Raw genomic sequence first — 14,960 nt, forward strand, 5'->3', positions numbered from 1 at the left:
TAGCAGCAGCAAAGAATGATCACCTATCTTTGTAGGGGAGCAGGGGTTTACTGCAATAGAGAACCAGGGTAGTGGGGCCCACAGTGCTGAGTTTCAATCTGTTGCTAGTTGCTAACCAGGTGGCCTTGGAGAAGTTTTTTTTTTCTTTTTTTAACCTTTCCAAACCTCAGTTTGTTCATCAGTAACATGAGAATAATTATGGTACCCATACATCATAGGACTGTTGGGTAGAGTATATGAGATAATATATTTAAGGCCTTTAACAGAGCCAGGCACACAATCAATGCTAGAAATATTAGCTGCTCGTGTTAGTGTTACTTAGAGAAGGGAAAGCAAATAACTGTCAAAAGTCAATAAAATGATACTCTAAACATCTAATTAAATGCAACCTGATAATCATAGAACTGTACATTTATATGATTTGAAGCATTTTTTCCTAAAAAGAACAGTTAGTTTCTATGATTAATTATTTAGATTACAGAAACAAATTTGAGGACTCACTTTAAGAGGACACGAAGTGGCACCAATGGAGATCAGACATCAGAGGATATCAATGAAATTTATGTCTAACAGGCTAATAGCACTGAGGGTTAGGGTCAGGGTTCTGGAAATTCCACTATATTAAAAGGAAATGCTTTTAAATGTTACTTAGCAGAAACAAATCATCTCCTTTTTCACCACTTGTAAAATAAGTCACAAACATAAACCTTCCACATCTACGTGCCATTTTAGAATGCTGTTTCCTTTAAAAGCACACATACAAGCCATCCCCATGAATGTGGGATTGTCACTGGGTCACTAGATAAAGGAGATTTATAAAATCTGTGACTGCATCTCCTGTAAGCATGCTTTGAAGAAGTAATCTACTCCTTCACCCATGGGTCCTAGAATATGGCCTGCACACAGACAAATGTGTAAGTTGTAAGGAGCAGTTCTGCCTCCCTCAGAGGCTGAAATTCTTTCTTCTGACCAATCACATCTCACCTTACTCTTTGGTTTCCAGGAACATTTAAGGATTAACTACTGGAAATCCTGTAGGTCTATAAGCCCATGTATTTCTATTCCCTCACCCACTCCTCACCCTGGCATTGGTTTGGCATCCACCTCTTCACTCTATCTTACTTTTGGTCCTAATTTCTCAACAATGATTTCTATTAGGTCAACCCTACTGTCACTTATGTAGGTCAAAAACCTTTGAATTTCACCAGGCACGGTGGCTCATGCCTATAATCCCAGCACTTTGGGAGGCCGAGGCGGGCAGATCACGAGGTCAGGAGATCGAGACCGTCCGGGCCAACACGGTGAAACCCCATCTCTACTAAAAATACAAAAATTAGCTGGGCGTGGTGGTGGGCACCTGTAATCCTAGCTACTCAGCAGGCTGAGGCAGGAGAATGGCTTGAACCCAGGAGGCGGAGGTTGCAGTGAGCCAAGATCATGCCACTGCACTCCAGCCTGGTGACAGAGAAAGACTGTCAAAAAAAAACCAATGAATTTCAACAACTTCATTTGATTCAACCTATTTTTCCCATTGTTAGTTTATGGATTTGTTGTAGGCCAGCTCAAAGCCTCCGGAAAAGGAGAAAATATATGCATATAGCAATAATCAGCAACAGACTGGTTTTTATAGATATTCAACATAACACAAAGAAATTAAATTTAATACGTGTCTGACCTGAGAAAGCCAGAAATAAAAAAATCCGCCGATGCATTTAACTTTTTTTCTTAGGGTATGCCTTGCTTTAAAGGTGAGGCAGGTACTAATCTACAAAACAAATCTTGCCACCTGACACCTCAGCCTCTATCTCTCACCCCTATTTTAACCTCAAGGCCTCTTCTGTAGACCCCATTATGGACTCCTCAATGGTTAGACAAATGCTGATCTAAACAAGGATTAATTAGAAGTGAGATGAAAACAATGCTCTGTACTCTGCCTTTTCCACACTGAGTCTTATGACTCCAAACTTCATCATGATCTTTGGACCCTTGCTGCACCTTTCTTATTGTCAGCCTCTGCTCTTGGACTGCACTTGTCTTTCTTCCCACTGCCACACCACACCCCTATGGCCTCCTAAGCTGCATGGCTCCTGCCATTCCCACATCTGGACACACTCAGCATGACTGTCTCTGCTGTTTCCAGCCCCACTAGAGAGAGACCCTCATCAGGCCAGGAGGCCCCAGACAGGCACCTCTGACCAGCCCTGCTGGGACCCAGTGCTGGCCCACCATTTCTCCCAAAGGGAGATTCAATATATTCAACTGTCCTGAAGTCTCTACTCTACATTGGATGAAACACCATTTTACCATGACTTAGAAAATCAGGATACGGCTTAAACTGCGAGGCTGGCCATTAGAGCTGAGGCTCAAAGCACATTTCAAAACCCAAAATGGCCACTCTGTCACTGTCATTTCATTTTTAGTAAACCTCTAGCCTTTCTTTTACCACCAAAAAACAAGAAGAGAGAGAGAGAGAGAGACAGAGAGAAAAGAGAGTGGGAGTAAAAGGGAAAGAGTTAGAAAACAGGGTGACTTTTTCTGAACAATGGTTGCATTAAAAAGTGTCCTTGAAGCAGAGAGACCACTCAAGAAGGAAATAACACCTCAAACCAGGGGGCCATTCACCAAAAAAGAGTTCACATTTGAAGCTCTTTGCAAAATGTTTTCGTGTGTCTGCTTTCCCTTGTTCATTACAAAACTGATGAAAAATAAAGATGATAAGTATGTTTATACAAAAAGAACCCATTCAATAATTCATCACCTTGTTGGCTTACAATATAACTACTCCAAAAGAAACGTGTTTTCCTACCCACTGACCATGAATGGATACCTGAGACTTAAATATGGCTCAGAGCATTGTCTTCCCGCGCACGTGTTGCGGAACTGTCCCCAGTATGCTGCCCGTGCTAGTTAACCCAGGTGGGGCTTCAGCCTTGATTTGCCCCACTGTTCTGTATCTTCCATCTCTTATGTCTCCCACTACAAAGCATGCTGGCGAACACCCAAAGTTTTGTTTCGTTGCAACCACTAAAATTCACTAGACACGGAATTATAGTATTTTTCAGCCTAGAATGGCATTCTCGATTAGGGGCAATTTTGTCCCCTAGGGTATATTTGGCAATGTTTGAAGACATTTGTGATTACGACAACTAGGAGGGGAGTATGCACTGACCTCTAATGGGCAGAGGTCAGGGATGTTGCTAAAAACATCCTACAACGCACCAGACAACCCTTCATGATAAAGAATGTTCTGGACCAAAATGTCAGTAGTGCTGAGATTGAGAAACTCTGGCCTAAGTGGAACACAGTAGTAAGCATCTGCTAGGCCAAAGCCTAGGGAGGGAAGGGATGACAGGATTTGCCTAGAACTACCCAGTTTGGAGGTGGTAGAGCTACATGCGGCACTCAGGTTAGGTAGTGCTATATATTTCCTCTACAGCATGTTTATTCTAAAAGGACTTACCCTTTAGATGGAGCTTAACTACACACACACACACACACACACACACACACACACAAACACACACACACGGTCTAGAAGGATACACACCTAGACGTAACTGGTGATTACTGCTGGACATAGGATTGTACTGATTTTCCCTCCTTGTTCTGATACGTTCAGCCAAGATTTGTTTGGTTTGTTACTTTTGTTTTGCTTTACAATAAGTACTTACTGATTTTATAAGCAGAAAGAATAAGAAACTATTTTTATTTTGAAAAACTATATAGGGAGGCCGAAGTGGGAGAATCACCTGAGGGTATGGGTTAGGAGTTCGAGACCAGCCTGGCCAACATGGTGAAAGCCCATCTCTACTAAAAATACAAAAATTAGCTGGTCTTGGTGGCAGGCGCCTGTAATCCCAGTTGCTCGGGAGGCTGAGGCAGGGGAATCACTTGAACCTGGGAGGTGGAAGCTGCAGTGAGCCGAGATCAAGCCATTGCATTCCCGCCTGGGCGACAGAGAGAGACATCGTCTCAAAAAAAAAAAAAAAAAAAAAGAAAGAGAGAGAGAGAGAGAGAGAGAGAGAGAAAGAAAGAAAACCTATATAAAATGCAGTTGAATTTAGCTTGATTAGTATTTATTGCCGGTGTGAGCACAGCAAGAACAGCATTACGAATCATAGGAAAAGGATGGATACGTGGTACAAATAGGGACTCTTTTGGAAAACTGACAACATGGATTCAGAGTATTAAATATCTAAAATATGGCTTAATAAATTATAGTTTGAACAAAATACATAAATTATATTAAAAAGTGTTTGTTTAACCCCAAATATATGCAAATGATGGAATGGTATGCAGCTGTTAAAGATCATGTTTTCCATTATTTCAGTGTTGATCTCCCCATTAAACTGAAGTCCATGAGGCCAGGGATCTTGCCTTTTCAATTCCTTCTGCATCCCTGGTATCCAAAGAAGTTCACACAGTAGGTATGTAATAATTATTGTTGAATGATTAAAATGAATAAATGAATATAGTTATCAGTGACAGTATTACAGATAATTAGAATCTTTTTATTTTTCTGTTAATATGTTTCTAAGATTCTCCAATAAGCATGTGCTACTTTTATAAATAGAAGATAGATTGTGTTGTTTGTGCAAAAAGTAAAGGAACAGAGAACTTAAGTAAAAAAGAAAAATGGAGTACAAAAGAGTATACGAAAGGGTGTTGAGTACTTGGAAAGCCCATTCCACGATGCAACTGAGGGATACCACGATGTGGCTACCATGGATTCCAAGTGTGGGTGTTATATTTAGCCAATTGACGGCCAGCACTCCTTTGTCAAACTGGTTTTCTCTTCCAGCATTCTTCTCTGATTTGAGCTTTTCTCCCACTGGTAACACCAAGAGCTAAAACAATGGAGAAGCTACAAATGAGATTCGTTGGTTATAGCCTCCAGTGGCCCCCACAGTATTGGAGGCATTGTGGCAGCCGTAGAGGCTGGAGGTGCTTTTCAACTGGATTGCGTCCGTGGCTGACAAATGGAATAAAAGAGCTATGCTGTGGTGCTCAAAATAGAACAGAAAAAAAAGGATCCCAAAGAGAGAAAGAGAGAGAGAGAGAGAAGGACAAGAAGAAGAAGAAAATGGCACAGACATGAGAGGCTAGCTTCTGGAACAACCTAAAAAGACCAATGTTAACCCAGACCCATGAATATGATTCTCACATCCTTTGTAGAATTTTTTTTTTTTTTCAAAAGTGCCTCTTTGGGACTGCAACCCTGAAAAATGTCATCTGCCCCTTTGCTGGAATGACTGGATACTTATGTCACCCAGTAGAAAAAAATGCCTGGTGATTTTATGTATATTTGACTACTTGTGGTTATCTGGGTGAGGTGACTGAAGAAACAAACAAATCTAAAAATATAAATCCACATTTGTGTATGGAGAGAGAGCAAAAGAATCTGAGGGAAAAAAATGAAAGAGGGATACAGGGAGAGAGACAGGGAGATGTGGACAGCCTGTATAACAGGGTGGGCCCCACAGTAACTGTCATGGGGTAGAGTTAGCAGTTACTGAAGTGGTCTGGAGTTTATTGACTCTATTAAGGTCCTATGTCAAAACCCATTCTCTCTTGCCTTCTTCATCCTCCCAAAATTTTGAGACAGTATGTCTTTACCAAGAGAAAAATCCTTTCCTCCTTCATTTAGAGCTATAGCTCAAGATGAAAACAGCCCCCAAAAGAGCACGGGAGTCATGAGTGTCTCATTGTTTTTGAGCACAGGTTTTAGGGACATAGAGCAAGGATGATTGGGAATCCAGGGGTGAGAGGAAGGTGGGAGTCACTGAAGAAATAACAGGCCCCCAAAACAAATGTTGTTTTCCTTATAGTTTGGACCATAGCAAGCCCTGTCTTTAAAAGCAGCCTTTTCATTTCATTCTATGAAAACAGCGTATATGACTGTAGTAGATTAAAGATGGCTATATATTTTTAACGCTCCCTTCAGTGAGAAGTGGGTTTGATTTCCACTGGCCTTGAATCTGGACTGGTCTATAATACTTTGACAAATGGAGTACAGTGGAAGTGATGCCATGCCCATCTGGGGCTCAGCCTATAAGAGAACTCATAGCTTCCATCATGTTCTCTTGTAGCCCTGATCTTCCACATGAGAAGTCCAAGTACTCTGTAGTAGAACCATGTAGAGATAACCTCAGAAAACATGGAGTGTGCAGTTGAACCCCAGACTTCCAGCTATCCCCGCCAGGTTACCAGATATACAAGTATTGCCATCTTGGACCCTTCAATGCAGCCTGGCTGCAGTTGAATACCAACAAGTGACTAACTGATGCTAGGCAGAACAGAAGAATTGCCCGGCCTAGCCCTGTCTGAATTCCTGACCCAAGAAACATTGTGAGATATAACAAAATGGTTGCGGCTTTGGCTACAGAATTCTGGAGTAGTGTGTTTTACAGTGATAGACAGTCTGGTCCAGGCAAGAGGATGACAATGTCTGTCTACTTTCAATGTTGGCTTTGAATCAAAAATATATATATTTCAGATAGATTGATCGACAGAACACAACTTGTAGTCTTTACGGAATGCAGTACAATGCAAATGCTATCTGTTTGTCTCAGCTCAAATCTTAGCCTTGCCATTTGCTCTGCAGTATATAACTTTGGCAAACTACTAACTTCTTTGAGCCTCAACTTCCTCATGTGTAAAACAAGGATAACAACATCGCCTTGATGGAATGGTTGGAATTGTTATATGAGAAAGCAAATGTGAAGCACGGAGCTCAGGAAGAGGTATGCACAGCCTGTGCTCCCTGAGCCATCTTGTCTGTGTTAACGTCCAATTTTCAAATCTCAGGCAGCTTCTCTGCTGCCTCATTTCCTGGTCACTCTGACTTTTCCTAGGGAATCACTTCCCCACTGTTTGTCTTGTTGACATTTCCACCTGACTGACTGTTAGACCTTCAGCAAATAGAGGGAATCTTTAAAAGAACCATATCTGGTATCCAAAAAGTCCTTCAGTAGCCGAGAAATTGTTATATGTGGAGATTACATTTCCCCCAAAAAATCAAAGAACATGGTTTTTTGTAAGGCAGATGATCTAAACACCCATAATATGAACATTAAAAAAAGATCAAAAAGGAGTTCTAAGAATTGAGATGGTAAAAATAAGAAGAAGGTTCTAACTCGGGATTTCATTGAAGTGACTGGACAAAGGTGAGCAGGTGGGGGCCCCTGGATATGTTTCCCATCTCCCGGTCCTACAGCTCACGAGGGCTGAGGCAGTAACTAGGTCTCAAAGGCTATACACTGCAACGTCTTTTGCCTACAACCAAGTGCAGAAATATCCCACATGAAAGGCCCGAATTCCATGCCTGGGTGGTTCCTGTGGAACCTTTCCTTGCACTTGCTTATGTTAAACTCCTTATAGAGTCAGCCTGCCAAGGGCCACCCAGTGACAACCATGGATTTCAATTCCTCCTGCAAAATATGTCAACCCATTTGTTTACTCAATATAGACAGCTTTGATCTCCATCTGAGGTGGGTCTAACAGTAATGAAAAAAGCAACTTTTCTTGCATGAACAATTGTAAGGATGATGAAAGAATCAAAACTCTGAAAGAACAACTTAAGACATTACTAAAAGGACTGTGTCCTCATCCAGGTTTTGCAATGGGGATATTTTATAGTTACAACTTCTTCCTAGACAACTGAGTCTCTTTCTGAAATGGTTTGGCACACCTGCTAAGAGTTTGTGGCATAGACTTGGAAGACGACTGAGAACTTTGAAATCCCTACCCTTTGCAAGGACCAGAGGACACTCACAGTTGCCACATTTAAACCCAACAGCCCACTAGAACAACATCATCTGTGACTATCTCTCTTGTGCTCCTCGGCTACAAGATCGTCTTCCTTGATAGTTTTTATTGCTTCTGGAAGTAATTTGCTCTTCATCAGGTTATCACAAATGAAAACCAAGACAGGTCAGAAGAAAGCTGGTTTCTTTGTCAGCAAGATACTTCCCTTTGCCAGAGCTGAGAGAGAGAGAGAGAGAGAGAGAGAGAAAGAGAGTTGGAATTAGAAAAAAAAGGTTTCAAGTCCCTTTCTGACATCTGTGATCTTTTAACAGAGATGTAAAGCATATGAGATTTGCAACCTTTCGTGGCCTGAAGGGATCCAGTTATTTGGCCAGTTGTGAAGACATACTCTTGTTCCTACTCGCACTGTCATGCTGTCATGGGGGGTGCATGCCTGTTTCATGATAAAAGGAAGCTAAACGGGGTTTTTACAGGAATTTCAGAAGTCTCAGAATTATTGAAGACTCATACCAGGATGAAACCCAAGTTCTTCAAACCAAAGTGAAGCAAATGTGACATATTATAGACAAGAGCAGAGGAGCAGGAAAAAAGAGAAAGAAATGACAAAGAAGCAGGCGGACAAAATGAATAGAAAAAATGGCATCTTTTCATGCATGTTGGATGTAACTCCTGGGACATCAATTTCTTTCTATGTGGTTATACGTTTGTGGTTATCTGGCATTTGGACGGGCAGAATGGAGGGAAGGGGTTTTTAAAAATAACACACTCTCTTTGGCACAGGACAGTACTAGCATGAAAGGTTGGTTGTTTCAAAGGACTAATCCAGGCTGTGGGGCTGTCCTGCAAACACTGAATCATGACCTTGCCGGCACCTTGCTGCGGGCATCAGCAGGAGAAGATGTGGAGGTTCCAGCAATGGTATTTTGTTCCACGTAAGACCAACCACATTCCCTCACATCTTACTTCACATAGTCTAGCACTCCGTGTAGTCCAATATGGGCATCTAAGAAGCAGCAGGCTAATAAGAGCCCAAAATGAAGAAAATCTAAAAATTAGCCCGACTTAGCCAATAAAAAGTAGCTCCAGCTAACCCAGCCAGACCTTTAGGAAAGAGCCCAGGAATGTCTCTCTCCATCCTTGCCCTGCTCCTCAACCTCCCCTTTGTTCACCAGGCTCCCAACTTCTCTTCTTGCCTCATACATACCCGGCCACGGATGCTGTCTCATCGGCTGGATGCACAACACTTCAATGGAGCAAGGGCTTTCTGTTGTTGTTGTACCTGCCCTCTTGCTCCATCAACTCCAGGTGAGTATTTCAGGGTCCCAGCTGGGCGGTCCCAAACCTGTCAGGTCTGACCACCCCACCTCAGGGGACACTGGCCTGACCTGAAGCAAGGGCAGCAGGCCGGTGGGCCTGGTCACCAGTCCCTGGAGAAGGTGTTTCTACCACGTTCTTTCAGTGTGGTGAAAAGGACATGTGTGACTGCTAAGGAAGAGTTACACGGGGCGAAAAGGGAGAGGAAGATTACGTGTGCACATGCACACACACACACACGCACATATACACATGCAAACACACACATGCACACACACTCACACTGGCAGTCTTCTCAGGGAAAGCAGCTGATGATTATGTTTCCGCAACTGAATAAAATCAAACCCAAACCACAAGGTAACAGCAGCCGTCTGGCCCGCCCTACACATGGCATTTCTGGGCACAGTGTGGCCGATTATATCCTTCACCCCACGGCTCTTTCAGCCCTGCTGTTTCTGGCTCTCCTCAAGATTCTCTTTCCCTTTAAGACATCAGGCGGGTGCTTGTCAATTAGAGTGAGCCACAGAGAAAAGCTGTCTGTGCTCCGGGAGAGGTGAACCTGCTTCTTGATGAGCCCTTCCTGAGCCAGCAGCAGGCCTCCTGCCCAGAGAGGATGGGGCAGAGAGATCTGACCAGGGGATGGGCAGAGGGAGCCTCACACATTCCTGCTCCGAGGAGTGGGAGGGTGGGTGGGGGCAGAGTAGGAGCCTTCACCACAGAAAAACAATGCGTCTTCAATTGTACAGAAAGCCACTGGGATCAGAAGCTGCTCACGCTGTTTAAGAGATGCTTAAGGAAAATGGGGCCACCTCAGAGGCACCTCTCCTGACCCTTCTCTGCCACCCCTAGCCCCGTGCTCAGGGTCAGAGTTGCCTCCCATGTCGCACACTTATGCTGTGTTTACCCCACCATTATCCTGGCTGCAGCTGACTACTTCCCACTTGAACTCCTCGAGGCAGGAACTAGATTCTCCGGTGCTGTGCTTCCAGCACCACGCCCAGCACAGAGAGGGGGTTCACTCAGTGCTTGTGCAGGGACTGACATCTAGGCAAGCTTCCTTTTGCAGAAGAGGAAACTGGTGCTTAGAGAGAAAGACAGGGAAGGGAGTGGGGCGGGGGGGGGGGGAAGGAAATCCCCCCTTCTGGAATACCAGGGAGCATGTTAGGCATCTGGCACTCATTTGTTCATTTTCCTCTCAGAACCCTGGTGAATTAGGCTTCACTGCCTTGCAGACTTCCTAGTGAGTGCTGGGACATCCATTTATTTGGGAGAGAACAAAATGCACAGTTGTACGAAGGCAAAGGCTGAACAGTTGGGGAGAGCGACAGTTGGAGAGAAGAGCATCAGAGGCCTCGTGGTAAACCCAAATGAGAGCTGCGCTGTGCGGGAGGATGCCTGGGAGGCACCAACGCCCCTGGAACTTAGATCTGGACGGCCTTGCAGGCAAAGATACACAATCCCCCAAGTTAAAATGTTGAAGGGCAACAGACCAAAACCAGAACAACACAGTTTCCACCTCCTCCCCTTCACCTTTGCCCATTAGCAGAGTTAAATTTATACCAGAGTTAAATTTCTATGTATGAACTCACACACAGAAACCAATATACACTACTACTGGAAACGTAAATCACGACAACTCTTTTGGATGGCAACGGACGTAAAAATAACTTAAAAATATAAAATTACTTGTGACACACAAAGAATAAGAGATTATTAAACAGCATCAAGTAATTTACCAACTTTGAAAATAGAGGAAAATGTATCATACATGTATTCATGTACTCTGGAAGGTTCCCTACTGAAGGCAGGCCCTATTGGGATTCTCGGAGTCTATCTTTCCATAGTAAGTCCCTGAGAGGTCAGTCTTATTTTCCAACTGTCTGTGCTATGCACATACGCATCCCTGCATTATATCAGTACTTGTTTAAAGTCACCTGATGTTAGAGCTGAAGGCACTTTCACGTTCATTTATTCTAACCCCCTTATTTTACATGTGGGAAAATTGAGAGCTCAATGAGTTTTCTCAAAGTTAATAGTGGAGGTGGGCCTGGAATACTGCATATTTCTAAAATGTCCCATTTAATGCCACTCTTTAACTACAGACCACACCAACTCCCCTCAGAAGAATGCAGAGTACACAAATTTTAAATAAGGAAGAAATTGCATGCTTGCCATCAAGAGGTGTACCGCTTGTCCACACCATCTCCGCTTTTCTCTTGCCCTGGAGGCCCCAGCAGCAGAATTGTGAGCACATAAGCCATGGAGGATGACGCTGCAGAGGAGAACATGTGTTCCTGTGGTCAGGGCATCAGCCACCATCGCCCTGCTCGGGGCCCCTTCACAGGGACCAGAGAGAGCAGTGGTGATAAGGTGTGGCCGAGGGCTGTTCTTTTTGAGCCATTTTAGTGATGCTGGGATGTTATGCAAGGAAATCTTTGGCATTGCAGTAATCCTGGATTATAAATAATTTAGCATATTTCTTTGTAAACTACAGGCCAGAATCCTTGCAAATAAGAAAGGATTAACTTTTTTAGAAGTACTTGCTCTTGAGACTTTAAGTTCAAGGCAGAACAATGCTTGCCGTGGTAATTCCATCTATTTTAAGATCACAAAACCATACCAAGTTGAAACCAGAGCAGAAGATATTAATGCAGTGCTCTCTCTGAAGTGCCCAATAGTGGGACGAGAAAGCTTTCAAAGGGAATTAAGTAGACAGAGAAAGCTCCCTGTTCATGTCCAAATCACAAGGAGGCGGTTGAATAGGATTCACAGTTCTCCGTGGGAAGGACCCACACCACAGCTAATGTTCAAAACAGGGGGGAGATGTCTCGGGAAGATCAAGGACCCAGAATTCTGCTGTTAGAATCAGCTGCCTGCCCATTAGAGCCTCAAAAGGACCCTCTACCATGTGTGAGCCAATATGATCCTGCAAATGAGCCCATTTTTCTTTTTGTAACTGGCCCAAACTTTATCTGAAGGAAGCTATCATTATGTAATATTTCCAAAGCACCCTTGATGTAAACTTCAGATCTGATATGTGGGTGTATGTATGTGCACGTGTGTGTGCACATTGTGTGTGTGCATGTGTGCAGTGGGAGAGGGTGAAAGGACAGTGAAGAGTCAGATGTACATACAAAGTAGAAAAACTGATGGGCAGCTGCTCTGAATATGCAGGAACAGAGAAGCATCCAGGGAGACCCTCAGGTCAAGGCTCAGCACCTGGTACATCACACAGACAACAGACATGAGAGGAACAATATTAGCTCCAGAGAAAGTCAGAGCCAGGAACAGTAGAAAAGTCAAACGGGCAGCAAGAGGCGGAGACTCAGAAACCATCAGCCAGTAAGTAGGTGGCAAGGCAGGAGCATGAAGGACTAGGACAGTCAGTGAACTGCACCTCCAAAGCCTGTCCTCCAGTGCCCACTCTGCTCTGGCCTCTGCCTGTCTTTCCAGCCTCATTTCCTGCTATTCTGCACGTGACTCCTTTACTCCACCAAATTATAAATGCAGCCTACTCTGCATGCTGTTTTCTAGCTTCTTGCCTTTGGTTTTTCTGTTCTTTGTGCTAAGAAAATCCTTTCTCCCTTCTCCTAAAAATGTATCTCATTTTCCAAGATTTAGCTTTATGGTCACCACCTCCTGGATGCCTTCGTGGCTTCCCAAACCTTCAGGGTGGGTTTAGTACCACTCCTACAAGCTCTGATGATATCCTGCCAATTTCCAAGCTTCCTCCAGAGGAAGATGACAAAGAAGTTTCATCTTTGAAAAAAGCTCTAAAAGAATTATGGCTGTTTGGGGCAGGCGCTGTGTTGAGAATGATTCCGAGGCCTCATCCAGAATCCATTGGAAAGACTGCTGCAGTCAGTTACGGATGCCTGCCATTTAAGGGTGTGGGTTGAAGTTTAGCCATTCCTGATGAGGCCAACATCTTCATTAGGCAGATGAGGAACCTGAGGCTGAAAGATGGGAAATGTCTTGCCCAGTGTTACAAGGCTGGGTAACAGCACACTCAGATGGGAATTCCAGGTCTTGGGATTCCTAAGCAAGTACTCCATTTAAATAAGATTCCCAAAGATTCTAAATCAGGAATATTGAAACTCTTAACATATTTTTAACTTTTTTCCAGGGGAGGAGGGTAATTATATAGTGAAGGAGCCAGTGAAGAAAAACTTGAAGCTTTTGCAATTTTGCTTGGACACCCACTCACCTGAACCCGTGCCTTATAATGTTTTCTCCTGCCCAATCCTCCAAAAGTCCCCGCCTTTATGCTTTTTTTAAGTGAGCACTGTTGGTACCACCAGTGTCTATTACCCAGGTTAAAATGAAGACTTCGAGCTGACTCTCCTGGTATCACGAATATACAATCAAAATGGATGCCTACACCTCTGTGTCAGGGAGGAAAAGTAGAGGAAGTTGAAGCCACATTTTCCAACTTCATCCTTCACTCCTTTCACTCTAGAGGCTGAAACTTTCCTGACAAAGAAATATACTTAGAATGGTTTCATTAGATAAACTCTTTCCCTATCTTACTGTGAAAGAAATTTTCCAGTGAGTTCCAGTTTCAGGAGGTTACAAGGTAAAAGGGAAGGAAAGTTGGCATGCTCCCAGCCTGACAAGAAGTTGTCGCATTACCATCAACGTCACATAAATTTAGCTGGAACATTGTATCGGATTCTATAATGCACTTACGTGAGCGATTAAATGGTGAGAAACACATAACATTTGCCTGCCCACCCCCTCTCCCATTGCCCTCTGCTTCTGTGAGAGTTTGGGATTCCAGATGAATTCTCCCAGCATAGCCTCAGCTTGCAAAGGGTCATCTAACCTTTAAACTTCAGTCCAGCAAAGCAGGCTGAAGAGAATCACCAGGGTGTCTCCTGTTATGTGCTTCAACATCAAATGACCTGCTTCACCAGGTTACCCAAGGACACAGCTTTAACCAAAGACGTGAGAATTCCCAGAACTGGAAGCAAATGCGAGCTGATGATAGGACATTCCCCAAACCCCCTATCCCAGGATGCTCGACAGCAATTAGCAGCCATGTCCTTTGTCTCACCTCTGCTGTGTTTTTAGCAGCTCAGTTTCTTCAGAGGACAAGGCAAGAGGGAATGGGATTAGGCTGGGAGCCCTGGTTTTCTGAGGGAAGAGGGTATTAAACATTTTCACTTGGAGTTTCTCTGAAGGGTTTCTGGACAACCAAACCCCCACTCCGCGCCCCTGCGAAACTCCTCCTGGCACCGCCCCTGACTTTCTATTTTCTTTAGGTGCCCACCTTACCCCTCCACAAGAAATCAAAGCAGCCGATATGCAGTTGAATTTCCAAGTGGATTCCCTTGTATCCGTTTGTCTGGGTGTGTGTGTGCGTTTTTAAAAAATTTTAAATTTTGGATAAGCCCTCTAAGAAAGAGGCTCCTAAGGGAAGCGGGGGCTGAAGGAAGGAAGAAGTGGGTGACAAAGCCTCTAGGGGATCAATAAATTCAGCTGCTCCTGTGTACAAGGGAAAGGGCAGTGCAGGAAGTCAGATGGGAGAAGAAATCCCAGAATCATAAATTTTAAAGCTGAAAGGATCTTTAGAGGTCACCTGGCATAACCTCCTCTATTTTATAAATGAGGAAACTAAAAGTCAGACATGCTAATGGACCTGCCCAAGGTTATGTAACTTGGCGATGAGAAAAGGAGGACCCAAACCCAGACCTCTCAAGTCCCCCGTCTGGGCCCCTTCATCTTCTTCACAGCCCACAGCAGCTGCCACCTCGGCCGAGCAGCCATTTTGATCGCTAAAGTGCCTGCGGGAAGACCCCATGGCCACCCCCAGACACTTCCCATGATGCTCCTCTCCTCAGAAGCCATGTCATGGCTGCCCACTCTCTCCAAAGACT

General features: G+C 44.0%; 1 protein-coding gene across 2 annotated transcripts in view; it reads right to left on the reverse strand.

Moving 5' to 3' along the window:
• The window catches only part of RORA (RAR related orphan receptor A), a 741,019-nt gene that overhangs the window by 390,873 nt on the left and 335,186 nt on the right, over positions 1-14,960 (reverse strand). The window lies entirely within an intron of this gene.

This window comes from Homo sapiens, chromosome 15 (genome assembly GCF_000001405.40).
Source record: "Homo sapiens chromosome 15, GRCh38.p14 Primary Assembly".
Classification (NCBI taxonomy): Eukaryota; Metazoa; Chordata; class Mammalia; order Primates; family Hominidae; genus Homo; species Homo sapiens.